General features: G+C 39.9%; 2 long non-coding RNA genes across 2 annotated transcripts in view, besides 1 other annotated feature; both read left to right on the top strand.

Annotated features, from left to right (window-relative positions):
- Positions 1-26,844, top strand: part of LINC01170 (long intergenic non-protein coding RNA 1170) — a 378,727-nt gene that overhangs the window by 106,475 nt on the left and 245,408 nt on the right. The window lies entirely within an intron of this gene.
- Positions 14,185-25,795, top strand: LOC107986448 (uncharacterized). The gene is made up of 4 exons (XR_001742871.2): positions 14,185-14,397; positions 17,668-17,729; positions 18,346-18,456; positions 25,755-25,795. It is a non-coding gene; the product is annotated as an uncharacterized LOC107986448 (long non-coding RNA).
- Positions 22,597-23,589: an enhancer, noted in NCBI's record as "OCT4-NANOG-H3K27ac hESC enhancer chr5:123644150-123645142 (GRCh37/hg19 assembly coordinates)". NCBI's record gives its function as "activates a minimal SCP1, AML or CMV promoter by ChIP-STARR-seq in naive H9 embryonic stem cells {active_cell/tissue: H9 hESC(naive)}" and the evidence as "EXISTENCE:reporter gene assay evidence [ECO:0000049][PMID:30033119]".

The following is a 26,844-nucleotide window of genomic DNA, read 5'->3' as shown; positions in this document are numbered from 1 at the left end:
TTTACTTGCCATTTCAAAAACTGTAGGATGCTTAAGAATTATGCTAAATCCACTCTGCCTATGCTCTGTCAAATGGAACATCATCTGCCTGGAGATGTCTCTTGACAGCATGGTTTCCTGATTACTTTAAGCCCACAATTGAGACCTACTGCTCAGAAAAAAAAACAAAAACAAACAAAAAAGAAAACAAACCAAAAAAACCCACTGCTTTCAAAATATTACTGTTCATTGACAACACACCTGGTCACTTAAGAGCTCTGATGGGGCTGTATCAGGAGACTAATGTCTTCATGTCTGTTAACACAATATCCATGGATCAAGGAGTAATTTTGACTTTCAGTCTTATTATTTAAGAAATACATTTCATAAGGCTATAGCCACCATAGATAGAGATTCCTCTGATAAATCTGGACAGAGTTGATTAAAAGCCTTCTGGAAAGGATTCACCATTCTAGATGCCACTAAAAACATTTGTGATTCATGGGAGGTGGTCAAAATATCAATGTTAGCAAGAGTTTGGAAGAGGTTGATCCCAACCCTCATGGATGACCTTGAAGGGTTCAAGACTTCAGTGGGGGGAAGTAACTGCAGATGTGGCAGAAATAGCAAAAGAACTAGAATTGAAGTGAGGCCCAAAGATGTGGCTGAATTGGTGCAATCTCATGATAAAATTTTAGTGGATAAGAAGTTGCTTCTTATGGATGAGCAAAGAAAGTGGTTTCTTGAGATGGAATCTATTCCTCATGAAGACGTGTGAACAATGTTGAAATGACAACAAAGGATTTAGAATATTCATACACTTAATTGATAAAGCAGTGATAGGGTTTGAAAAGATTGCCTCCAATTTTGAAAAAAGTTCTACTGTTGGTCAAATGCTATCAAACAGCATTGCATGCTACAGAGAAATCTTTCATGAAAGAAAGAGTCAATGAAAGAGGTAAACTTCATTGTTGTTTTATTTTAAGAAATTGCTGCAGCTACCACAGCCTTCAGCAACCACCAGCCTTATCAGTCAGCAGCCATCAACAATGAGGCAAGGTTCTCCACCAGCAAAAAAGATGACAGCTTGCTAAAGACACAGATGATTGTTAGCATTTTTAGCAGTAAAGTGTTTTTCAAATTAAGGTATGCTCATTTTTTAGACATAATGCTATTGCACACTTAATGGACTGCAGTATAACTTTCATAGGCACTGGGAAACCAAAAAGTTTGTGTGACTTACTTTATTGTGCTATTCACTTTATTGTTGTGGTCTGGAATGGAACCAGCAATAGCTGAGGTATGACTATGGTATGAATGTGAGCCAGAGAAGGAGTGTAATGCAATGAAAACCTGAGATCTGCTCAGCATCCCTTATTCTTTCTTTTATTTTTTATTTTATTTTATTTTATTTATTTTTTGAGACAGGGACTTGCTCTGTCACCTAGACTAGAGTGCAGTGACACAATCATAGCTTACTGTAGCCTCAAACTCCTGGGCTCAAGCGATCCCCCCACCTCAGCCTCCCAAGTCACTGGAACTACTAGTATGCACCACCATGCCCAGCCCTCTTTTAAATAAAGGTTATCCCTATTCCTGGGGGGGTAACTATTCATTTGTTTGGTGAAGATTGACTATCACCCCCTCACCTAGTACCCCTCCCCCTACTACAGGATTAGGCATCTAATCTAGGGTGTTCAATATTAAATTTATCCTTTTACCTAGTCACAGTGACTGATTTAGGGTTGGACATGCAAGCCAACTAAAGCCCTCTCTGTGACATTCCTGTTAACACTATTGGAGAAAAAGCTTTCTTTTTACTAGAATTGCTAAACAAATAAGATGTGAGTCTTGGGCTGCCCATAACCATAGGTCCACCATGTGAAGAAAGCCTTTTTGAGAAATGAAGATAAAGAGATAAAAAGAGAGATAGCAAGGGAGCTGAAACTCTATTTACATATTTTGAGCTGTAGAATACCCAAGGTCATTGTTTTTTTTTTTTTCCTAAGCTAGTTTGCATACTGTCATATACACAAAGTATGTATGAGAGAGCAAAGAAGGATAAATACTTAATTATCTGTCTGGAGACATCTTCAAAGAGGACAAGAATTTTGAGACGAGTTTTGAAGAATGAGCAAGGGTTTTCCAGTCACAGAGTGTGGGAAATGCATTCATTGAGTGGTAATAATGATGAAAGTTCAGGGGAGAGACGACTTCCTCGCTACCCTCTGAGGGTTCAATAACTGAGTCTATGATATAAACCGACAACAGGCAGATCAATGGGAGAAGTATACAAATTTATAATGTGCACAGGACATCACAGAAAAGAAAAGCGAATATACCCAAAACAGTGAGATTCACTAGCTTATATACTGTCTTTATAGGGGAGGGGGTTATAGAAAACTTAGGGGAGAATAAATAATTTTGAGGAAAGATGAATGGGATCTTAAAAGAACAGGCGACAGTCTGTGATGAAGTCTGAGTGTGGTGTTGATTTCCAGCCTCCTCTCCTGGGATACGAGTTAATCTTCCCTGGTTGATGAGACTCCCAGGGAGGGGATTCATGATAGTTGAGTTTCTTTTGGACTATCTGTCTTTAGGCAGATAAGGGAAGCCCAGAGAAAGCCTCTCCCTATATTTGCTGCTTTATCAAATGCCTTCAGTTTGAAGTAATCAGTCTACAAAGCAGCATATTTTGAGGTAGCATTTCCTAGACTCCTTAAGAAAGACTAACAAGAATATACATTATATCAAGGGAATGTACATGCCAAATACTGGCATGTGGAGTGGAGAAATGGAGGCTAAATCTTGAAAGCTAGTTGGGGTTCTGGTTATGAAGAATTTTTTTGCTTTCTAGTTGGTGTAAGCATCATCTAGCATTTAAGGTGTTTAAGCAGAGGGATCCCAGATTCCCACCAGAAAGAAGAGGCAGAATTGACAGAGAGCAGGCATGGAGGGAAGGGCAGAGGCACTGTGGCAGAAATGCCTGGAAGCAAATCCTGGCTCTGTGGATTTACTTTGAGTGAATGATTTAACCTCTTCAGCCTCAATTTATTCATCTGTTAACTGGGGGTGATACTAATAGCAATAACAGTGATTAGCTTATAGGGTTGTTATGAAGATTACATAAGTCAATGTAAAACACCTATATAAGAGCTTGACACATGGCAATTGCTCAATAGAGGTATTCGCTGCGATTTAGAAATGAAACTCTGTGGAGAGAATTGAGGATTCGGTGACTGGGGGATGTAAGGAAAACTACTGATCATTTGCAAGTGTTATCCCTTTAACACAGGTTAGTTTCTCAGCCCAGCTAGCTGTCTCCTAACAGACAGAGCAGTCACAGGAGAATAGGATGTAGGGCAAGCATGTTTGAGTAGGAGAATAGAAACAAGAAAAAAGAAAAAGTTCAGAGCATGTGATGCCACCCAGAAGATGAGACTTGGACACACTTCTTTAATTGGAGGGCTTTGGTGGCCAGAAATAACCTGAGATCTCTGGGAACTTGTAGAGAATGGCTGTGGTTGGGGAGAGAGACTCTCAAGTTCAGCAGCCAATGGAAAAATCTTGCCTAGGGATGGGCTTGCCTGTAGCAAATCAGTGGAAGAGTCTTTGAAGATGTAAGAGATGGCTCTTCAATTGAAACTGCAGACAAGGGTCTGCAGGAGGCCAAAGCAACAGCTCTGAGGGCAAGGGGCCAGATGGCTCAGTTAACACCATAGTGAGAAATTCCATAGGATCCTTAATAACTCAGCTAGTGAGGGATTGAATTTGATGCCCTATCACCCAGAACACAGGTTTAGCAAATGCTTTAGCCCCAGAAGTCAGCAGCAGGGTAGACAGTGCCCTTGAGGGCCACTACCAGGCTAAAGGCAAAGGCAGAGAAAAATTTAAAGGTACAGAAAGACAGGGAGAAAGAAAAGGAAGGAAAGAGTATATAAGAGCATCAGAAAGGAAAAAGTGAAAAAGAAGGAGTGGTGGAAAAGCCAAAGGAGCCTTATAGGGTGGGAGAAGAGGGATTGCATAAACACTTGATATATTCCCTAAAGATCATTTTGCTCCTCTGCCAGTAAGCATTCTGGGGAGGTGTGATCAAACCAGAAAATTCTACTATTAAGTATATTTTGCTTTTCTGCTGCCTTTATTTGAATGACTGCCTGTCTTGCTATTGTATAGTTGAAATACATATACAGAATTTTGCTATATTGTAAAAAATCAACATTCAACTTATATTTGCCACATAAGTTGAAACTACCCTTAGATCCTGCTGTCAGTCCTTGAAGACTTTCTTAAGCATTGAATGCTCGAGTCTGATTGAATCTACATGAGTAGTTTTAAATAAGACTATGAGGTGTATCTCATAATCTGGACCAACAGGAGACTACTTTGAAGGCTGGAGTTGTCCAGCTTTCCATCGCTCATAGTATTTAAGATAGTGTCTGGCAAATAGTAGCTGTTCAATAAATGCTAATGAATTAGGTATCACCTATTTGCTGCAGCTTAAGGCACAACAGTAACTGAGGGAGAAAAAAGTTGTATTTAGACTAACGTGGGTTTGAATCGTAGCTCCATTAATGACTACTCTGTGATCTTGGGAGATTCACTCCATTTCTATCAGCCTGGGTTTCTTCATCTGTAGCATGGTGACAGTAGTAACACTGACTCTCCAGGGTCCTGCTGAAATTTAATCAAGTTGATGTGTAGTATGTGGCATGAAGTAAATGCTCAATAAATGTTAGCTGAAGACAAAACCAAACCCTCCTTCCAGTGTAGTTCCTTAAACTATTGTCAACCACAATTTTAAAAATTCGTAAAGTTTAGAAATGTATGTTGTGTTGTGAAATTTGGAGAAAAATGTCATCTCAAGTCTTATCATTTCTGTATCATTCTGCCTGGTTTCATTATGCAACGTGACCTTCTGTACTTAAACAGTAGTTGGCCGTTGCTAGCTCTCTGATCCTAAACAAGCTCCTTATTTAAATTCATCTTAGATAGATTCAGGCTGTCTGGAATATTATTACATTTTTAATGTCTAGAACAGTGTGGTATATAGCAAGCATAAATTTTCAATATTTCTGTAAAATGGGATAGTGTAAATATAAACTGAGATGATAGTGTTTTTTGAATACTCATTATGCATCAGGCACTATTCTGAGTGCTTTCCGTTTGCTAATTCATGGAATTCTCACAATAATTCTGTGAGGTAGACAAAATTTTCTTCTTCAGTTCATATGTGGACAAATCTGGGCAAAGACAGATGAAAGAAATTGTGCAAAATCACATAGCTAGAAATGAACAGAACCAAGGTTCTTCCTTGATAGTCTAGCTCCAGAACCGAAGCTCTTAACCACAATGATATACTGACCCTCAGTGTGGATATTGTAATTGCCTGCCTAACCTCACATTTTCATTCAGCTATTTAAATCTCCCCCCATGTGAAGCTCATGTGCTTTGGAAAAAGCAGCAAAGCAGGTCAAGCTTATACTGATGAACATGAGCTCATTTGCCAAACATGACCCAATTTAGGCCAATGAGATTTAAGACATTTTCTAGGGGTTTCCAGAAAAAGGTTTCCTAACTTTCTTATTTTTCCTTTCTCATTTTTCCCAGAAAGCTTCTAGAAGCAATTCCCCCAACGCTTTCATTCTCCAACCCTCCCTTTCCCCAACCCTCCCCAGCCTCCTCTCCCTTCTCTTTGTTGGCAGCCATTTTATGACTATGAAGGAGAGCCAGCCTTAGGGGGGAAAAAAAATGCCTTTCCCTGGAAACCCCTAGAAGCTGACATACGGGAACGCACAGTCGATCGAGAGGGACTGGATCTCTATTGACACCAATGAGCCACTAAATCAAACCCTAACTTTTGATGTTGGCAAATTCAGTACAAATAACTTCTTATTTTTCAACCAATTTAAGTTGTCAATGTGATGCTCCATCACTCCTTAATACTTTAGAATTTATGTCCTACAAACAAGGATATTCTCCTGAATAACCAAAATAGAACTATCAAAATTAGCATATTAACATTAATTCATTACTTTCACCTGATTCTCAAATCACATTCGAGTTTTGTCAGTTGTTCCAATTATGACTTTTATAACTAAATAATCCAGTCCAGAATTATGCATTGCATCTAGTTTTCATGTTTCTCTGCCACTTTTAATCTGGAACAGTCCCTTGGTCATTACTTCTATGCTCTTGACATTTTTGAAGAGTACGTGCCAGTTATTTTGCAGAATATCCCTCAATCTGAGTTTGTCTGGTATTTACTCATGATTAGATTCATTTATACGTGTTTGGCAGGAATATTACAGAAGTGATGCTGTATTCTTATCATTGCATCCCCTCGGTGGTGTGTGCGTCTGCACGGATGCCCTCCTCCCTGGTTCCACATCCCGCTCCAGGTCATTCCACCACCTCTCAGGATGCTCAGGCTTCAGCTCTCTACTCTTGGCATCCACAGCTCCCCTCCCTGCACAAATGCCTACTTTGCCTAGACTCCACCCATTGACTTTTGAACTGCATTGTTGGGAGATGGAAAAGAAGAGAAAAGAAAGGAAAAAAGATGATGAGAAATAATAATAATAAGACAAAGAGTAAATCTCCAACTTTTACGCCCACCACATCTCTTGATTTTCAGTTATAATAGCCAGTGATCATCTTTGTAGCTTAAGCCAGTATGAGGTAATTTTTATTTGTTTCTGCAAACCAAAACTTATTAACCAATATATAAAGTTCATGATAAATAGTAGGCAAACAAGAAATGGAAGCTATTATTGTGATATTGGTGCAATTGCAAAAAGGCATTAAGCTTGGAGTCATAAGATCTGAGCTTAATCTAGGAAATAGCTGTGTCACATTGGACAAGACACTTACATTATTCAAGCCCTTGGTTCCTTATATAGAGAGCAGGGACAATAATTCTTACTCTCTGAATTGCTATTAACGTGCTGTTATGGATTCAATTGAGTCCCCCAGAAAGGATCTGCTGAAGTCCTAGCTCCCAGCACTCAGAATGTGACCTCATTTGGAAATAGGATTATTGTGGATATAATTAGCTAAGTTAAAATATGGCCATACCAGAGTAGAGTGACCCTAATCCTTCCCATTGGTATTCTTCTAAGGAGATGGCCATGAGAATGTATGGAGATGCAGGGGGAGCATATGTGAAGATAGTAACAGAGATTGGATTGAGGGCATCCACAAGCCACAGAATAGAAATGATTGTCAGTCATCACTGGAAGATAGGAGAGAGGCATGAAACAGATTCTCCCTCAAAGCCCTCAGAAGAAACCAACACCACAGACAGCTTGCTTTTGGACCTTTGGCATCCAGCACTGTGAAAGACAAAACTTCTGTTAAGACACCCAGTTCGTGGTACTGTGTTATGGCACCTTTTGGAACCTAGTACATGTGCTTTATAAAATTTAACGGTATAGAAACATAAGCAATTGTTATCATATCTTTCTAACTCTGCCATTGAGCATGAGATAAGTCACTTGAACATTTGAGTCCTTTCAAAAGCTTTTATATATTGTACTTATATAAATGCTGGTGAAAACACAGAAGATTGTGGACAGTCAAGAAGATGATCCCCTTCTTGTTTATATCCTGTGACACAAAATCATCACCCCTTGACCTTATCAGAAAACAAAAACAAAAACAAAAACCGGATTCATCTTTAAGATGTCCCCTGAAGTTTAGGCCTCAGGTGATGTTATCCAGACAAGATCGAACTTAGTCGTAAGGAATGTATAATATATTTTTCCGGAGTCATGATGGTGTCTTTTGTGCTTCCTGAAATAATATTAACAGTACAATTTTATTGAATAGTTACTTTGTATTATATCACTTCAAGCACTTTGTGTTATCTTGTTTAATCTCCACAACAATCTTATAAGGTAGAAACTATTATTCTTCTAATTTTCTACTTCAGGAAACTGAAGCGTGAGAAATGAAGTAACGTACCTTGAGTGATTCTGTTGGTAGGCAGTGGAGCTGAGTTTCCATCCAGGACTGTGGCTAAGCAACATGATCTCTAAACCACCACAATATACGACCACTTAAAAGCACTTCTAAAAATCAATTCTATACTAAAATGTGGTTGTGGACTAAATCATAATATATCAATTTAAGTTAAATAGCAGTTTGGAGAAGGAAATGTAATAAAATAAATGGCAAACTTTACATGTATTTATATATGCTATACATTAGCAAGTAGAGATATATGGATATTATGCATTGGTCAATAAGATATATACATCCATAACAACAGGAAATTCCTGGTTTATGTAAGTTCATCAAATATGTGCTTGAAATAGTACATCCTTTCTAGTTATTTCTTTGTAAAATTAATGTACATTCACATAACTACCAAGTATAGTGGCATGAAAGAGAGGACAAGCAACTTTTTTTTTTGAGACGGAGTTTTGCTCTTGTTGCCCAGGCTGGAGTGCAATGGTGTGATCTCGGCTCACTGTAACCTCTGCCTCCTGAGTTCAAACGATTCTCCTGTCTTAGCCTCTTGAGTAGCTGGGATTGGCACCATGATATTTACAAGGATGCACCACTATGCCCGGCTAATTTTTTGTATTTTTAGTAGAAATGGGGTTTCTCCATGTTGATCAGGCTGGTCTCCAACTCCCAACCTCAGGTGATCTGCCTGCCTCGGCCTCCCAAAGTGCTGGGATTACAGGTATAAGCCACTGTACCCGGCCCACAAGCACTTTTTTATACCAATATATGGGTATTGATAGGGGAGGAAGAATGTATTTCCCTCACCCCTTCTAGGTGCAGGGTAGAGCCTCCTATAACAAAGAACAGATTAACAAGAGAAAGACATACAAATTGATTTAATATGTGTTTTGTATGACGTGAGAGCCTTCATAAGAAAATGAAGACCCAAAGAAATAGATAAACTTGTTTATTTTTGTGCTTAGGTTTGAGAAAGAGTAGAAAGTCATGGAGAAATATGATTGGATAAAGGGGGTATGATCTAATGGTAATAAACTGGAGAAAACTCAGCAGGGCTTGTTGGTTCAGATTCTTCTCTGTGACCCTTTGTCTTCAGAGGTAAGAACATTCTTTTCATTGGGGTATAAGGAGGGTACCTTTCACCTGAGGGTCTTTTTATTTTATTTTATTTTATTTTATTTTATTTTATTTTATTTTATTATACTTTAAGATTTAGGGTACATGTGCACAATGTGCAGGTTTGTTACATATGTATACATGTTCCATGTTGGTGTGCTGCACCTGTTAACTCGTCATTTAGCATAAGGAATATCTCCTAATGCTATCCCTCCCCCCTCCCCCCACCCCACAACAGTCCCTGGAGTGTGATGTTCCCCTTCCTGTGTACATGTGTTCTCATTGTTCAATTCCCACCTATGAGTGAGAACATGCGGTGTTTGGTTTTTTGTCCTTGCGATAGTTTGCTGAGAATGATGGAAACCTGAGGGTCTTACATTCTGCTTCAGGGTGAGGTCAGAAAATCCTCCCTAGATTTTATGACCTGCTTCAGGGGACAAGGGATGAGGGGAAGGTGAGAATGACCTTTCTGCTTCTGCTATTTTTCTCAAATGCTGAAGTGCCATATTTGAGGATAGCATGTCCTAAACCCCATCAATAAGAAGTGTGATAAGATGAATTGTCACCAAGGAATGCTGCAGGAAGAGAAGCCCAAAATTATTATTCTTTCAGGAGAGTGTGAATGTGTCTATGAGGAGGCAGGTGGACCCAAGGAGGTGTCAGATTTGGAGTGAGGAAGAATCGAAGTGTGTGTAACTTGTCAACTTTGGCCTTGGTGTCATGTCAGCATACCTCAGTAAGAATAGAAGGCAGCTACTAATCCCCACCAGGGATTGTACATCTCAGTTAAAACCAGTGAGGACAGTGGCCAATGACTGGGAAAGTTATGTCTTTTCTGATGAGCTTCTCTTGGAAACTCTTCCTATAAACTCCTCTTGGATAGGAAAGAAAAAGAAGGAGAGAAAGTGCTAAATTTGTCAGTATGCCTGAAAAAGAAAATACCTGGAAGGACTAAAACTAAAAACTAAAATTATATCTTGAATTGGCACCATGATGTTTTCTGTCATTTAGCAGGGTGGTAGATAAAGAGCAAAGAGAAGTTGAGTTATAGACCATGAAATTAACACTAGTTAACACTTTTGCCTGCCTGAGTTTATGGTGATGAAGTTTGATCCTGCTACATTAATAATGAGGTGAATGTTCTTCAGCTACCTCATTTGTCTTGAGCATCACGTTTGTGCCTGGCTTATGTTCACTGAACTGCAGAATTTACTTATGTTATATTATCTCCCTGATCCTAGCTGAGAGTTATCACCAGAAGACCGCCCCCTGAAGGAGTAGACACATTCTATTTCTCTACCAAGAAAGGAAAGGACTAAGTCAGAGCCGTTGAGCTACAGGGTTCCTGAGGAGGTTGATCTCTGTGTTTATTACAGTCATCTTGTAACTCTCCAGTTCTGTTGTCTTTGATCATTTTACCTTGCAGTAATCCCTTCCCTCATGCTATGTATTCAAATGTACACAGTATTTTAATGAAGATAGGCTATAATCTCTTGTCATGCCTCCTGGGTTAGTTAAAACTTCAATGGCACTGCTCCTTCATCATTATTTCTTGTGGGCAATTTGTTTTAAAGTACATATTCTTGGTTACACAATTTTAAAGGAACATTTCTTTTGCACAGGTCAAGGTCAAAGAGCACATGTGACCTACAAAGAGCCTGAACGGAGCTCCAAAATTTATCCTGAATTTTTGCTAGAGACAAATTACACTCTGAGCACTTTCTCCTCATCTTCCTCCTTATTACCTTCTTGGTAAAAGTCCTCTCTATTATTGCATGAATTTGTTCACAGTAATTATGTTTCTTTGATTCTGGTCAGTACTACTCTGGTTATCCAATTTAGCTTTCTAAATTGCTTCTGGCGATTTCCTTGGTCATTCTCTCACTCTGCTGCCCCACAGAATCTTTCCTTTTGAGATGCACTAAGCTTAGTCTTAGTCTATCAGCTAATTCTGGGAGCCAAAAGTAAAAGCCTGTTTTCACTATCTGCCAAACGGAGGGAGGTATTTGTCCACTAAGGAGAATTTGCAAAGTTCCTTTCCTAGATAGTACCATTGATTTCATCTGCACAAAATGTTTTAAGTTATAGACTTAGTATCACTTCTACATTTGGCTTCTCATGGCAGTACTTTATAACTTGTTTTGGTAAAGTCTTTAAATATAGAAGTCAAAATGGCTATGCCTCTTACAACACAAAATGCATCTAATAAATATCAACTGGCTTTGCCACTTTGTCACACAGAGAACATTTGTTATAAATCAAAATAATCATATAATTGATTTTCCCACTAACACTAAAGCCAAGTATGTGTGTTAATCATGGAATTTTATTTAATCAAGAATAGTCAATAGCATTTATTAGATACTACCTTGTATTAGGTATTTGTCTAGGTGCTTTACCTGTATTAATTTAATCTATACATCCCTAGGAGGTAAGAGAGATCATTAGCCCTATTTTGTCAATGGTGATGCTGAGGCTAAGAGAAGTTATTCGAGTCAGTTATTCAAGTTCTTGGAATAAGTGACAGAGGCAGGATTTGAACCTGGATTGTCTGGCTCCAGACACTGCTTTAAACTCTGCTGTAAACCCTGTAAATTGTGCTGACAGCTTCTCAAGAGCTATGGATCGGTTCTTAGGAATAACATCAGATTTTCCCCTTTTCCAAGCTTAGTTACTTTCTTGTAAACTACATTTACTTGTTGTTGATTTCTAATGCATTATATTTAGTTCCATGAAATGTTTTAATTGAGTTGATATAAAATTAAGTAGTGTATTTTTCAGAGACGTTAGACAACAGTGAACTTTGTTTGGGCATTGTGTTAGTCTGTTCTCATGCTGCCATAAGGACATACCTGAGACTGGGTAATTTAGAAAGAAAAGAGGTTTAATTGACTCACAGTTCTACATGGCTAGGAAGGTCTCAAGAAAGTTACAATCATGGCGAGGTGAAGGGGACAGTAGGACACAGTCTGTTCTGCTGACCTGTCTTCACAGGACAGCAGGAAGGAGAAGTGCCGAGCAGAGGGAAAAGCCCTTTATAAAACCATCAGATCTCCTGAGAACTTACTATCGTAAGAACAGCATGAGGGTAACTGTCTCCATGATTCAATTACTTCCCATTGGGTTTCTCCCATGACATGTGGGGATTATGGGAACTACAACTCAAGATGAGATTTGGGTGGGGACACAGACAAATCATATCAGGCATGTCTTTTGGCATTTGGTTTATATTTTAGTAATAAAGTTGCATCTCAACTCCACCCAATATAAATTCTTTTTTGACCCCCAAATCTGGACAGATTATGGATAGGCTGGTCCACACATTTTATGCATCTTCATTCTCACCATTAAGTCCAGTAGCTAAACAAAAGGACATCAAGTTTCCTGATTAATAAAAGACATGAAACTGGCCACAAGAAGCCTACCAGTGACCAAAAGCAAATTCTACATTAGCAAGATATTAAATTACAAAAAAGATATGACATTTAATGAGTCTACATATAATTTCATTGATTAAAACTGTGGCTTGTCTATCAGCATTTTTTTAATGCTAGAAATAGTATCTTACCAATGCAAAAAGGACTGAGGTATGCTTTTTTTTGTTTGTTTTTTCCCCAATGATTCAAGTTCACAGAGGAATCAAAATTAAGTTATAAGATTAAGATGAGAAATAACAAATAAGGACAAAAAGAAGAGTAATAATAAATCTATAGGATCTTAGGGCTATGTTTGAACAATAAGCCCTTATGAAAAATATGCAATTAAGATAAGAGAGCAACTGAGAAAAACTTCCTGGATTTAAAGTGGTAGTACAGGAAAAAGGCAGTTAACTAAAGAAAAGTGATCTGATATCCTGCAAAACTACCACTCAACATCAGTCCTTCCCAGCATCCTGTCTGGAGCTGGGTGTCCAGACAGGATGTTGAGTGGTGTCTAGTGAGCTCAATGCCATCTGTGATAGTTAATTTTATGTATCAACTTGACTGGGCCAGGAGGCCCAGATATCTGGTTAACCTTTATTCCTGAATGTGTCTGTGAGGGTGTTTCTAGAAGAGATTAGCATTTAAATCAATGGACTGAATAAAATGAATGGCCCTTTCCAATGTGGGTGGGCCTCATCCAAGCAGTTGAGGGCCTGAATAGAACAATCAGGCAAAGGAAGGTTACATTCTTTGCCTGACTGCTTGAGTTGAGACACCAGCCTTCCGTCCTTGGACTGGGACTCACACCATTGGCAATCCTGGTTCTCAGGCCTTTAGACATGGACTAGAATTTATACCACTGGCTTTCCTGGTTCTCCAGCTTGCAGATGGCAAATCATGGGACTTCTCAGCCTCCATAATCATATAAGCCAATTTCTTGTAATAAATCTCATTTTATATATATATATGTGTGTGTGTGTGTGTGTGTGTGTGTGTGTGTGTGTGTGTATACATAGACATATATCTTCTATTGGTTTTATTTCTCTGAAGAACCCTGACTAAAATACCATCAAATCAGATCAAAGGAAAATTATATAAATTATGGCATACCTCTGGAGACCAAGTTAGCCCTCACCCTTCCAAGATCTGAATAGAGGTCATGACTGGATGGATATGAGATGTCAAGGCGAATGGGCCAAAAGCATAGTCTGCTTTCATCTTCTGTATCTAACCAAAAGAAACAAAAACTGTAGGGTCAAATTCTGTGGTTTTAACCTGAAATGTTGAAGGTATCTAGTTCCTGAAGAGAAATTCATAATGTCAGATAGCCACATGTGTATAAAAATAAACGGAAAGCAACAAACATAGTTGCATTTATTTCAGGAATATCTTAAAGAACACATTTTCCATCTGCCCTCCTTCATCTTCCCCACACACACGCTCACACATGCGCACTTTTGAGTCAAACAAAAGTGGAACCAAAAATGTATTCAGTGATTCCTACAAAATAAGAGAATAATTAAGATGTTCAATTTAGGCCAGCAGGCCTATATGTATGTACACATACATGTGTGCCTATTGGTGGAGATAGTCATATGTAAACTAATTTTCTACAAAATCAGTGGGAAATCTGGTGTTTTAGAAAGTGTGATGTCAACAAGAATGGGGCCTCTCAAAAATTCTTTCTGCCTTGCAGAACCACAGCAGCAAGTCACTTCAGAGTGCACTGGGGCAAATCACATCATGTCATTATGTCATGGATCATAATGAAGCACAGAGGCTAATTGAACCAACAGGCCTCAACGCTAATCTCCATGCCAGACTAGAGGCTTGAGAAGTTTTCTGATGGGGATAAAGGAGAGGAGATTGAAAGCTGAAGTTAATGATTAAAGCCAAATGAACCCCACAGGTAAAATTATTTCAATAGCAACATGTCTCATAGCCAAAGTTTTGATGATTAATAAAATGAATAGAGCAGGTCAGAAATTCCCAGGGTGCCTCAGGTCACTGAGTAGAGGAGTCATTCAATGCACAGCACGATTGCTTGCTGCCTGGGGGTCTAGCCAGTGATGCATGGGGAAAGTGGCGGGGAATATGGGTCATTACAAAGGGAATGGTGCTTCTTCACTTCTTACAGTTGGAAAAAGTTGAAATGTAGGCATCTTTTGCTCATGTCCTATTCATTATTTAAATTCAAGGAATATCTCAAAGAGCATCTTTTCTTTTAAAAATTTCTGGAGGAATGTTTTTTACAAAAAAGAATAAATAGCAACCTGCAAGTCCATATACAAAAAGTACCGTCAGCCAGTAACTATAACTGGCATGGTGGCACTCGCCTGTAATCTCAAAAAGACTTTATTTTAGTACTATTCACTTTTTCCTGAATATAAAAGTAATACACACCTATTGTAGAAAAAGTTGACAAATATAGAAAATTATATGAAGGAAAAGAAGTAACCACTGATACATCTGCTTTCAACAATAATGATTGCTCATATTTAGGTATATTTTCTTTCCATTGCTTTTCCATACATACAGATTTTTCTGCGATTAAAATGATAATTTAGATACAGTATGATATCCTGACTTGTTGAAGTTAATGAGATGCATTTTTGTCATTAAAATTAATTATAAAGCATTTTTCATTGTACCATTATATTTCACCATGTTTATTGACCATAATGCATTTATTCATTTCCATGTTGTTGGACACTTACTTTTTCTTTTTTTGTTATTATTATTTAACTTTGTGATGGAGATCTTAGAATTAGGACAATTGTTCATATTTCTGACTTCTTTTTTTTTTATTTTGAGACAGGGTCCTCTCTCTGTCACCCAGACTGGAGTGCAGTGGTGGGATCTTGGCTCACGGCAGCCTCAACCTCCCAGGCTTAAACAATCCTCCCACCTCAGCCTCTCAAGTAGCTGGGACTACAGGCACATGCCACCAAACCAGGGTCTGCTAATTTTTGTATTTTTTTAGTAGAGGGAGGGTTTCACCATGTTGCCCAGGCTGGTCTCGAACTCCTGGGCTCAAGTGATCCACCCACCTTGGCCTCCCAAAATGCTGGGATTACAGGCATAGGCCACTGTGCCTGGCCCATTTTTAACTATCTCCAAATGATTTGTCCTAAGTATTTTTTTTTAAACTTATGCTTCTGTTTGGGGAAAAGAGAAAGGGCCCTTAAATGAGTATATGTAATATGGCCCTAAGGTGAAGCCCTTCATGGGAAATTCTTTACTTTCATTTCTCAGTTTAACAGTATGATTCACCAGTGCATGTATCAAATTCATATTGCATAACTCACATAAATCATTCTTGCTCCAACTTTATCCACCACACATGTGAGATGAAAAGCCTATCTGATGGTCCATGTGAAGCTTCGTGGAGCTGTGGATACTATGGGAGATTCATTGCTTTAGGCATTGTAGAAATGCACTGCTTTAAGGCTGAGTAACTCATTCTATAGACTCTACCACAGCTAAATGATATCTCTGGAAAGTTATAAATTGCTCTCACTTGATTTTAACTGGAGAATGTAATACCACAATGCTGACTCTCCCGTCCTCATCAGATCACAAACAATGATAGACTTGCCATCTGATTTGACATGGCAGCTGAATCTACGGTATCCATTTCTGACTCCACAAGACTGTCAGTCTCACCACTGAATAATATAAGACCTGAGTTTGCCAAGTCTCTTGCTAACATTCCAGATGGAGGAAAACTGCCACCATATCTAATTTGTAAGCTTGAGTCTCCAATCAGGGAAAAAAAAGTCATTATTCTTGTGGCTGAGAATGGAAAGAACCATGTGATGATCCACAAAGGATGAATTTATGAAGGAGGAAAAAGAAGGGATGTATAGGTTGACAACACAACCCACCTGTTTAGACAAGGTTAAGGTGGATTTATATAAACATATGAAAGCTTCATTTTATAAAAATTGGGTGTGCTCTAGAAAGTACTTTCCCAACTTTGCAAAGATGCTGCAGTCCTAAAACTCTTTGATAAATGCGCTTTCCAAGGATATGCTTAAATAGTGGGACAGGGAAATGTAAAATACACTATACATAAGGAATTAGCCTGATCAGAATATAAATATTTTTGAATGTAAATTTGTATGGATAAGACTATGCTTATTTCTGTCTCTTCCGGCATAAAGTTATACATATATAGGCACCCCCGCTTTTTTTTTACTGTGTGATGATAATGATTGGGGTAAGAACAATAATATTTTGTTTTTTGGTTTTTTTTTTACTTTTACAGACAGGGTCTCATTATGTTGCCTGGGCTGGGGTAAAGTGGCTATTCACAGGCATGATCACAGCTCACTGCAGCCTTAAACTCCTGGCCTCAAGCAATCCTCCCGCCTCAGCCCCCCAAGTAACTAGGACTACCCGTGTCGGGCTTTGAATTTTTATAGTATTGTTATGATTTGGATTTGAACCCCTGCCCCAGTCTCATGCCGAATTGTAATCCTCAGTGTTGGAAGAATGGCCTGGTGGGAAGTGATTGGATCATGGGGGCGGATTTCCCCCTTGCTGTTCTCGTGATAGTGAGTGAGTTCTCATGAGATCTGATTTTTTTTCCTTATTTTTTTTCTGACAGAGTCCCGCTCTGTCACCCAGGCTGGAGTGCAGCAGCAAGATCTCTGCTCACTGCAATCTCCATCTCCTGAGTTCAAGCAGTTCTCATATCTTAGCCTCCTGAGTAGCTGAGATTACAGGCGAGCACCACCATGCCAGGCTAATTCTTCTATTTTTAGTAGAGATGGGGTTTTGCCATGTTGACCAGGCTGTTCTTGAACTCCTGACCTTAGGTAATCTGCCCACATTGGCCTCCCAAAGTGCTGGGATTACAGGCATGAGCCACTGCATCCAGCGAGATCTGATTGTTGAAAAGTGTGTAGCACCTCCCACTTCACTCGCTTCTTCATTCCCCAGCCATGTAAGATGTGCCTGCTTCCCTTTTGCCTACCACCATGATTGTAAGTTTCCTGAGGCCTCCCCAGCCATGGCTCCTGTAAAGACTGCAGAACTGTGAGTCAATTAAATCGCTTTTCTTTATAAATTACCCAGTCTCAGGTAGTTCTTTATAGCAATGCGAGAACAGACTAATACAAGTATGTTGTAGGCAACGAAGTACTCGTGTTCATTATTTTATTCTTTTATACAGTTGTCTCCCTTTATCCATGAGGGACATCTTCCAAGGCCCCCAGTGGATGTCTGAAACCGCAGGTAGTACCAAATCCTATATGCATTATGTTTTTTCCTATACATACATACCTATGATAAAGTTTATTAATTAGTTACAGTAAGAGATTGACAGCAATAGCTAACAATAAAGTAGAACAACTATAACAATATGCCATCAGCATTACTCTTGGGGCTATTATTTAGTAAAATAAAGGTTACCTGAACACAAGCACTGCGATACTGAGACAGTAGATCTGATAACTGAGACAGCTACTAAGTCACCATCGAAGAGCATATACAGCATGGATATGCTGGACAAAGGGATGATAAACATCTGGATGGGATGGTATAAGATTTCATCATGCTACTCAGAATGGCATGCAATTTAAAACTTATGAATTATTTATTTCTGGAATTTTTTATTTAAGATCTTTAGACTGTAGTTGACCAGAGGTAGCTGAAACCATGGAATTCAAAACCGTGGATAAGGGGGTACTACTGCCCACACACATTAAAGAACTCAAAGGTGGGTAGACATGATACTTATGTATAAGGAAACTGAGTGAAACTCAGATACGATTCATATCCAGTATTCCACAGCCAGTAAGAGATGGGTCTGGAATTGACACTCATGTTTTCTCATTTCATGTCTTTTTAGCATACTTTTGTCCATAAAGCAAAATCCGAAGATTAGTGTTAAGAAACAGGATTTGGAACTCTCAGAACAAGGCCATTGGGGGTGGAGATTTCTTACCTATGGCTTAAAGAGGTGGGTGACAGAAATGGCTCATTCAACCATAGATGGTTTAAAATAGCATTTCAATGGTTAATCATCAGCAGAATAGACAATTCGAGAAACATTCTAAAAGGAACTTTGTGGATTGGGTTCTTTGACCATTATAGTATTTCCTCTTCTAACATTCCTTTCCCTTTCATCTTTATTTCCCACTTAGTTTGCTTTTCAGTTAAAGGCAGTCAGTGAAAGTGTCACTCAATATCAGAGCAGCACATTGGAGTAGAAAAGCAACATGGGCTTTGAAGATGTAGGTGCTGTATTTGAGTTTTCAGTGATCTTGGGTATTTCAGCCAAGAGGGAAGTGGGTAAAGAAAAATTAATGGGCTGGGCGCGGTGGCTCATACCTGTAATCCCAGCACTTTGGGAGGCCGAGGAGGGTGGATCACGAGGTCAGGAGATTGAGACCATCCTGGCTAACACGGTGAAACCTGGTCTCTACTAAAAATACAAAAAATTAGCCGGGCGTGGTGGCGTGCGCCTGTAGTCCCAGCTACTTGGGACGCTGAGGCAGGAGAATGGTGTGAACCCGAGAGGCGGAGCTTGCAGTGAGCCGAGATGGTGCCACTGCACTCCAGCCTGGGTGACAGACCGAGACTCTGAAAAAAAAAAAGAAAGAGAAAGAAAGAAAGAAAGAGAAGAAAGAAAGAAAGAAAGAAAGAAAGAAAGAAAGAAAGAAAGAAAGAGAAGAAAGAAACGTTAATGATGGATATAAGTGAAAAACGCATTGAAAATAGAATAGTGAGTGCATAATTTGCTATTCTATGACTAGGATGCTATTTTAAATGATATTCTGTCTGTGTGGCTATATATGTATCTACATCTGTATGTTTGTAGCTGCATGTGTGTTTCCATGTATGTATGTGTATAAGCCTATATGTATGTGTCTCTGGTTTGATGTGTACATGTCTGTGTGTGTGGTGCATATGTGGATGTGTGGATATTTTATATTGTAGGATAAAATGTTTGGGCAATGGGTTAGAGCTGTGTACTGATGACCCCAAATGTCCTTATAAGATATTTTTATTTTTTTCATGTAAAATATTTCTATAATATTTGACTCTATGGGTAGAATTAACATTTGCACTTGAAGTAAAAATAATTATTAATCCCTTCCTGAGGCCTTTTGGTGTTCTTTGAAGCTTTTGCTAAAAATAAGAGGAAGGATCTTAGGTAACATGCTTACTTTGGGAACAGTCTCAGTATGACCTAATCACTGATTTGCTCATTGCAGTTCTCCAGAATTTGCATCAAGAATGTAGCTCTGTGTCCTCCGTTCTCTGGAGCTGAAGCATGGCCACCCCTCTAATCTCCCTGTTTTTCATCTTTCTCTCGTCTTCACCTCTTTTTAATAGACTAGCAGAGAGGTAGGAGAGTAAGCTCTAGATTTCCCCACCTTCCTTCATTTTCAAGGCTTGCATAGTGGAAAGATGGCAGACTTCCTTCCACTAGGGCTTCCTGTGTTATGTTCCCCTGGCACTCCCCAAATACCTCTTCTCTGTTCTTTGCCTCAAAAGGTGTCACTCTTTGTTGTCATGTTTGACTACTAGATTCTGTGTACCATGAGGGCAGCAGCTGTCACATTTGTGCCTGGTAAAAAGTAGAGGGCCTTGACTGAATACTGGCCTGAAGGCATAAATGAATCAATAGCAGGTAACTGGGGAAAGCTCCCAGGATTGAATGCAAATGCTGATTATAAAGAATTAGTCCTGAAGGTGGAATCCTTCTCCTCTGCTGACAAGACAAACAAAGCCAATTTTTGGAACATCTACATTATAAATAACATTAGTGGTAGAATTTAGTGGACAAATGAGACAGCCTATGTAAAAAGGCAAAAAACCTCGTTTCTGTATGTGAAGTTTCAGATCATTTTTGCCGAATGTAAAATTCTTTTGTATATTTATACAAAGGAATATTTTATTATATAGACAGAAATGCAGGATAGGGAACATTGGAAAAGAAAAGCAATTGAAATTATGTACAGAAAATGTTTTAAAAGGCTAATGAATGCACACTGTTGTATATTTGGAAGTAAAGTGACCATGAAAAAGAAAGAAAAGAGGCAGAAAAATTCCCTCTTATTTATACCAATAAAATGTAAATGCATGTTATTTCCCTATGAACATCATCATATTGGATTTGTAGAGCACTGTTTTCCAGAATTTAAAATGCAATAATCCATAGAGATAAACTGTTCCTCTGGCAACCAAACCTTGAAAAAAATTAAGATTAAAAGCAAATACAGAAAAATTATTTCTCAACCCACATACTAGAAATCAAACCAATTTTATTTCAAACTATTAGCAAGAAATACCCTGCCTATTTACCACCTGCATTTTCCCAATAATTTATAATTACAACCCAGCAGTAAGTATTGATTTCCAATTGATGGATATCATCTGTGCCCTAATAAACTGACAGACCTTCAGAAATCTATCCTGGGAGACCTTTAGAATACATGACATGAGTTAAACATATTTTATTTAATACCAGAGGAAATTTGCATTTCATCTCTCAGGCTTTTACGAAGCTGCTGTAAATGATTTAGCTTAGCTTTTAGATTTCAGAGTCATTTCATTTCAATTTGGGCACACTCCTGTATAATTCTTAGCCTTTGTTCAACCAAATGTAGACTACTGACATTTAGCATGTGGAATAACATGTCAAAAATATGGGACGCTTAAATTCACGGTTTGTGGATTTAGTAAAGATGTGAAATAAAGCTTTTGATGCGTGTAAAAATCACAGTAAAATGTAAGTGAAACCTAATTGTAAAATGTAAATGAGTTCTAATTGTTTACCATGCTCTTATAACTGGAATCCTGCTGGGTAATATGCCACGGCATCCCTTAGGATGGGGTAATGCCACATTCAATGAAGTCCAGGGAGGTTTAGCTCCAACAAATGCGATCATTGTTTATGAGTACATGGGTGGGGCATTTCTTCCAGGAACAAGATCTTCTGTTTATATGGTTAGCAGCCTGTTCAAGGTTGGCCCCTGAAAACAGAGTACCCACACAGGAAAAACTAGGTTTTAAGACAGGAAGCAAAGAATTAACATCCTTAAAAGATTTTCCTGAGCAAACTGAGGAGCCTTGGCAAATGCATTATTTTATTAGCACCTTTTCTAATCTGAAAAAAAAAAAAATAGAGTGGGAATGTTCTCATTATTAAGTACCTTGCATTACTTACATGTCAATTTACCGCAACAGCCATTTAGATTTTTGTAGCAGAACCAAATGTGGTTTTTATAAAAATTGTTTTGTTTTTAAGGAAGAAAAACACACGCACACAGGTTTAATATAAAGTGGGGGCCCTTGAGTATTTCTTTGTGAATTTTGTTTGTTTTCTGGGGGAAAAAAAAGGAACCTATTAGCAGGTTCATTTGTATAATAATCATTCATTAAAATAGACTCTGTGGCAATGAAATACTGTACTTGAATTCCAGCACAAAGCCTTTAAAAAGCTAAAATGTCAAAACAATAAAACTAATTAACGCAACAAAATAGCTTTTTCCAGCTAATGACAAGCTGGTCCAAAAACACACTTCAATGATTTTTCTTTCCTCTAGAGACACTTTAAGTAAAGCAATGATAGAATTTTCCACAATCATTATCTAGCCCAGTGTCACCTAGGAATCTAGCCCAACTGAACTGTCTGGCAGAGAGGTCACATGTCTACTTTTGGCTAGCTTCCCCCAGTCCCTCGCTCCTTCCTTCCCTCCCGTGTGGCCCTTCTCTCCCCTCCTGTCTTCCAGAAACATTTACGAGGCTTTACCACACTCTAGGTGCTGTGGAGGGACAGCTAACTGAGCCCGCTGCGGGTCCCGCAGTCAAGCAGCTGATGGAGTAGGAAGGAAGACAACACATAAATAACTCTAACCCTGGGGGAAAAAGTCACACGTTGTAAATTACAGATAAGTTGCCAGAATAGCACCCAGGACTCCTTTATACTCTTTGCCCAGAGACTGAATTCAAATTTCCTTGATGGTTCCAGCAATGTCCTTTGTGGCAAAAGATCCCATCCAGGATCAGGGGCTGCTCCCAACTCACACCTGTCTCTATCTCTGATCTGAAACAATTCCCGTTTTCATGTGTGTCTGTGTGAAGAGACCACCAAACAGGCTTTGTGTGAGCAATAAAGCTTTTAATCACGTGGGTGCAGGCAGGCTGAGTCCCAAAAGAGAATCAGCGAAGGGAAATAGGGGTGGGGCTGTTTTATAAGATTTGGGTAGGTAAAGGAAAATTACAGTCAAAGGGGGGTTGTTCTCTGGCGGGCAGGTGTGGGGGGTGTTCACAAGGTGCTCAGCAGGGGAGCTTTTGAGCCAGGATGAGCCAGGAGAAGGAATTTCACAAGATAATGTCATCAGTTAAAGCAGGAACAGGCCATTTTCAGTTCTTTTGTGGTAGAATGTCATCAGTTAAGGCAGAAACCAGCCATCTGGATGTGTACATGAAGGTCACAGGGGATATGATGGCTTAGCTTGGGCTCAGAGGCCTGACATTCCTGTCTTCTTATATCAATAAGAAAAATAAAACGAAATAGTGGTAAAATGTTGGGACGGTGAAAATTTTGGGGGGTGGTATGGAGAGATAATGGGAGATGTTTCTCAGGGCTGCTTCGAGCGGGATTGGGGCGGCGTGGGAACCTAGAGTGGGAGAGATTAAGCTGAAGGAAGATTTTGTGGTAAGGGGTGATATTGTGGGGTTGTTAGAAGAAACATTTGTCATGTAGAGTTACTGGTTATGGCCTGGATACGGTTTTGTATGGATTGAAAAACTAAACGGAATAAGAGAAGGAGAAATACAGGTATTAAAGGACTAAGAATTGGGAGGACTTAGGACATCTAATTAGAGAGTGCTTAAAGAGGGTCAGCATAGCCTTGCCGGCAAAGATTATTTATTTACTTTAAGAGTTAAGAGTGGCAGTTTGGGGATAGCACCAGGAGATATCAGCTGTGATGGCTTGGAGAAACAGTGTAAACAAAAGCAGGGCATGTATGAGTAGTTGAGAACAGTGAATAGGAGTATGACTAGACAGAAAATAGTAGGGATGACAAGTTTTTTGAGGCACAGTCTAAGTTGGTCTGGTGTCTGGGATGAGACTGGGGCCTAATAAAAAGGAGCATCTATGCAGGACCTTAAATGGGCTGTACCCTGTAGCATTCTGAGGACAGGCCTGAGTTCTGAGAAGGGAAAGTGGTAAAAGTATTGTCCAGTCCTTTTTAAGTTGGTGGCTGAGCTTGGTGAGGTGTGTTTTTAAAAGACCTTTAGTCCATTCTACTTTTCCTGAAGACTGAGGACCATAAGGGATATAAAGGTTTCACTGAACACTAAGAGCCTGAAAAACTGCTTGGCTGATTTGACTAATAAAGGCTGGTCTGTTATCAGACTGTACAAAGGTGGGAAGGCTAAAGTGAGGAATTATGTCTGACAGAAGGGAAGAAATGCCTGCAGTGGCCTTCTCAGACCCTGTAGGAAAGGCCTCTACCTATCCACTGAAAGTGTCTACCTAGACTAAGAGGTATTTTAGTTATCTGACTCGGGGCATGTTGAGTAAAGCTAATTTGCCAGTCCTGGGTGGGGGCAAATCTTCGAGTTTGATGTGTAGGGAAGGGAGGGGGCCTGAAGAATCCCTGAGAAGTAGTAGAATAGCAGATGGAACACTGAGAAGTTATTTCTTTGAGGACAGATTACCACAATGAGAGGTTTTGAGAGGCAGGCTAGTGGCTTGTACTATAGCATATCCTGCCTTTGCTGGTGTGTGGCGATTAGGCCTTGTGGAACTGCCATCAATAAACTAAGTGTGATCAGGGTGAGGAACAGGAAAGAAGGAAATATGGGGAAATGGGGTGAACGTCAGGTGGATCAGAGAGATACAGTCATGGGGGTCAGATGTGGTATCCGGAATAATGTGGGAGGCCGGATTGAAGTCCGGGACAGGAACAATCTTAATTGTGGGAGACTTAACAAAGAGTGAGTACAGCTGAAGGAGCCGGGGAGCAGAAAGTATATGCATCAGGTGTGAGGAAGAAAATAGATTTTGGAAATTATGAGAGCTGTAGAGAGTGAGTTGAGCATAGTTTGTGATTTTGAGGGCCTCTAAAAGTATTAGGGCGGTGGCGGCCACTGCACGCAGACATGAGGGCTAGGCTAAAACAATAAGGTCAAGTTGTTTGGACAGATAGGCTACAGGGTGCAGTCCCAGCTCTTGTGTAAGAATTCTGACCGCACTAACCATGCCTAGGAAGGAAAGGAGTTGTTGTTTTGTAGAAGGGATTGGGGTTTGGGAGATTAGCCGGACACGATCAGCAGGGAGAGCACATGTGATTTTATGAGAATTATGTCGAGATAGGTAACAGATGAGGAAGAAATTTGGGCTTGATGGAAGTAATGGGGGCTGTCTGTGAAGCTTTGTGGCAGTACAGCCTAGGTAATTTGCTGAGCCTGATGGCTGTCAGGGTCAGTCCAAGTGAAAACGAAGAGAGGCTGGGATGAAGGGTGAAAAAGAATAGTAACGAAAGCATGTTTGAGATCCAGAACAGAATAATGGATTGTGGAGGGAGATATTGAGGATAGGAGAGTATATGGGTTTGGCACCATGGGGTGGATAGGCAAAACAATTTGGTTGATAAGGCACAGATCTTGAACTAACCTGTAAGCTTTGTCTGGTTTTAGGACAGGTGAAGTGGGGGAATTGTAAGGGGAGTTTATAGGCTTTAAAAGGCCATGCTGTAGCAGGTGAGTGATAATAGGCTTTCATCTTTTTAAAGCGTGCTGTGGGATGGGATATTGGCATTGAGGGGTGAGGGTGATTAGGTTTTAATGAGATTGTAAGGGGTGCATGATCGGTCGCCAAGGAGGGAGTAGAGGTATCTTATACTTGTGGGTTAAGTTGGGGGGATACGAGAGGAGGATGTGAAGGAGGCTTTGAACTGGGGAAAAGGGCAGCAATGAGGTGTGGCTATAGTCCAGGAACAGTCAGGGAAGCAGATAATTTAGTTAAAATGTCTTGGCCTAATAAGGGAACTGGGCAGGTGGGGATAACTAAAAAAGAGTGCATAAAAGAATGTTTTCTAAGTTGGCACCAGAGTTGGGGAGTTTTAAGAGGTTTAGAAGCCTGGACATCAATACCTACAACAATTATGGAGGCAAGGGAAACAGGCCCTTGAAAAGAAGGTAATGTGGAGTGGGTAGCCTCTGTATTGATTAAGAAGGGGGTGGACTTACTTTCCACTGTGAGAGTTACCTAGAGCATCTGTGATGGTCTTGTAGGCTTCCGAGGTGATCGGGCAGCATCAGTCTTCAGCTGCTAAGCCGAGAAGATCTGGGAAGGAGTCAGTCAGAGAGCCGTGGGCCAGAGTTCCAGGGGCTCTGGGAGTGGCTGCCAGGTAAGTTGAACAGTCTGATTTTCAGTGGGGTCCTGCACAGATGGGACACGGCTTAGGAGGAATCCCGGGCTGTGGGCATTCCTTGGCCTGGTGGCCAGATTCCGGCACTTGTAGCAAGCTCCTGGGGGTTCTGGAGGAACACTTGGCAGCTGCAGTTCAGGCATTTGGAGTTCTTGTGTGCTGGAGATGTGGCTGGGGTTTGTCTCAGTGCAGGCAAGGAATTGCAATTTAGAAATATGTTGCTACTTGGCTGCCTCTACTCTAATATTGTATACCTTGAAGGTGAGGTTAATTAAGTCTTGTTGTGAGGTTTGAGGGCCGGAATTTAATTTTTGGAGCTTTATTTAATGTTGGGAGCAGATTCAGTAATAAAATAAAATGTATATTGAGAATAAGACGTCCTTTTGACCTTTTAGGGTCTAGGGCTGTAAAGTGTCTCAGGGTTGCTGCTAATGGGGCCATGAACTGGGCTGGGTTTTTTATAGTTGATGAAAAAGAGCTTAAACACTAACTGATTTGGGACAGGTCGGATAAATAAAAAGGAGCATTAACATTGACTATGCCTTTAGCTCCAGCCACCTTTTTAAGAGGAAATTGCTGGGCAGGTGGGGGAGGGCTACTCATGGAACGAAACTATAAGACAGACCGGGTGTGAGTAGGGGAGGTGATAAAAAGATTATAGGGTGTAGGAGCGGAGGCTGAGGAAGAATTGGGACCTAGCTCGGCCTGGCGAGGAGGGGAGAGGTCAGATGGGTCTGTAGAAAAGGAAGATTAGAAAGAGTCAGCAACGCTTGGGGTTGGGAGTGAGGGGACAGGCGGGAGGGAAAGAAGGAAGATTTGGGACGAGTTACACTGGGCACAGAGACTAGGGAGGGACTGATGTGTAAAAGAATGCCTGGACGTCAGGCACCTCAGACCGTTTGCCTATTTTATGACAAGAATTATTTAGATCTTGTAGGATGGAAAAATTGAAA

The sequence above is a fragment of the Homo sapiens genome, chromosome 5 (assembly GCF_000001405.40).
Source record: "Homo sapiens chromosome 5, GRCh38.p14 Primary Assembly".
Classification (NCBI taxonomy): domain Eukaryota; kingdom Metazoa; phylum Chordata; class Mammalia; order Primates; family Hominidae; genus Homo; species Homo sapiens.
Note: the sequence above shows the minus strand (reverse complement) of the source record. Positions and strands in the feature narration are given on the sequence as shown.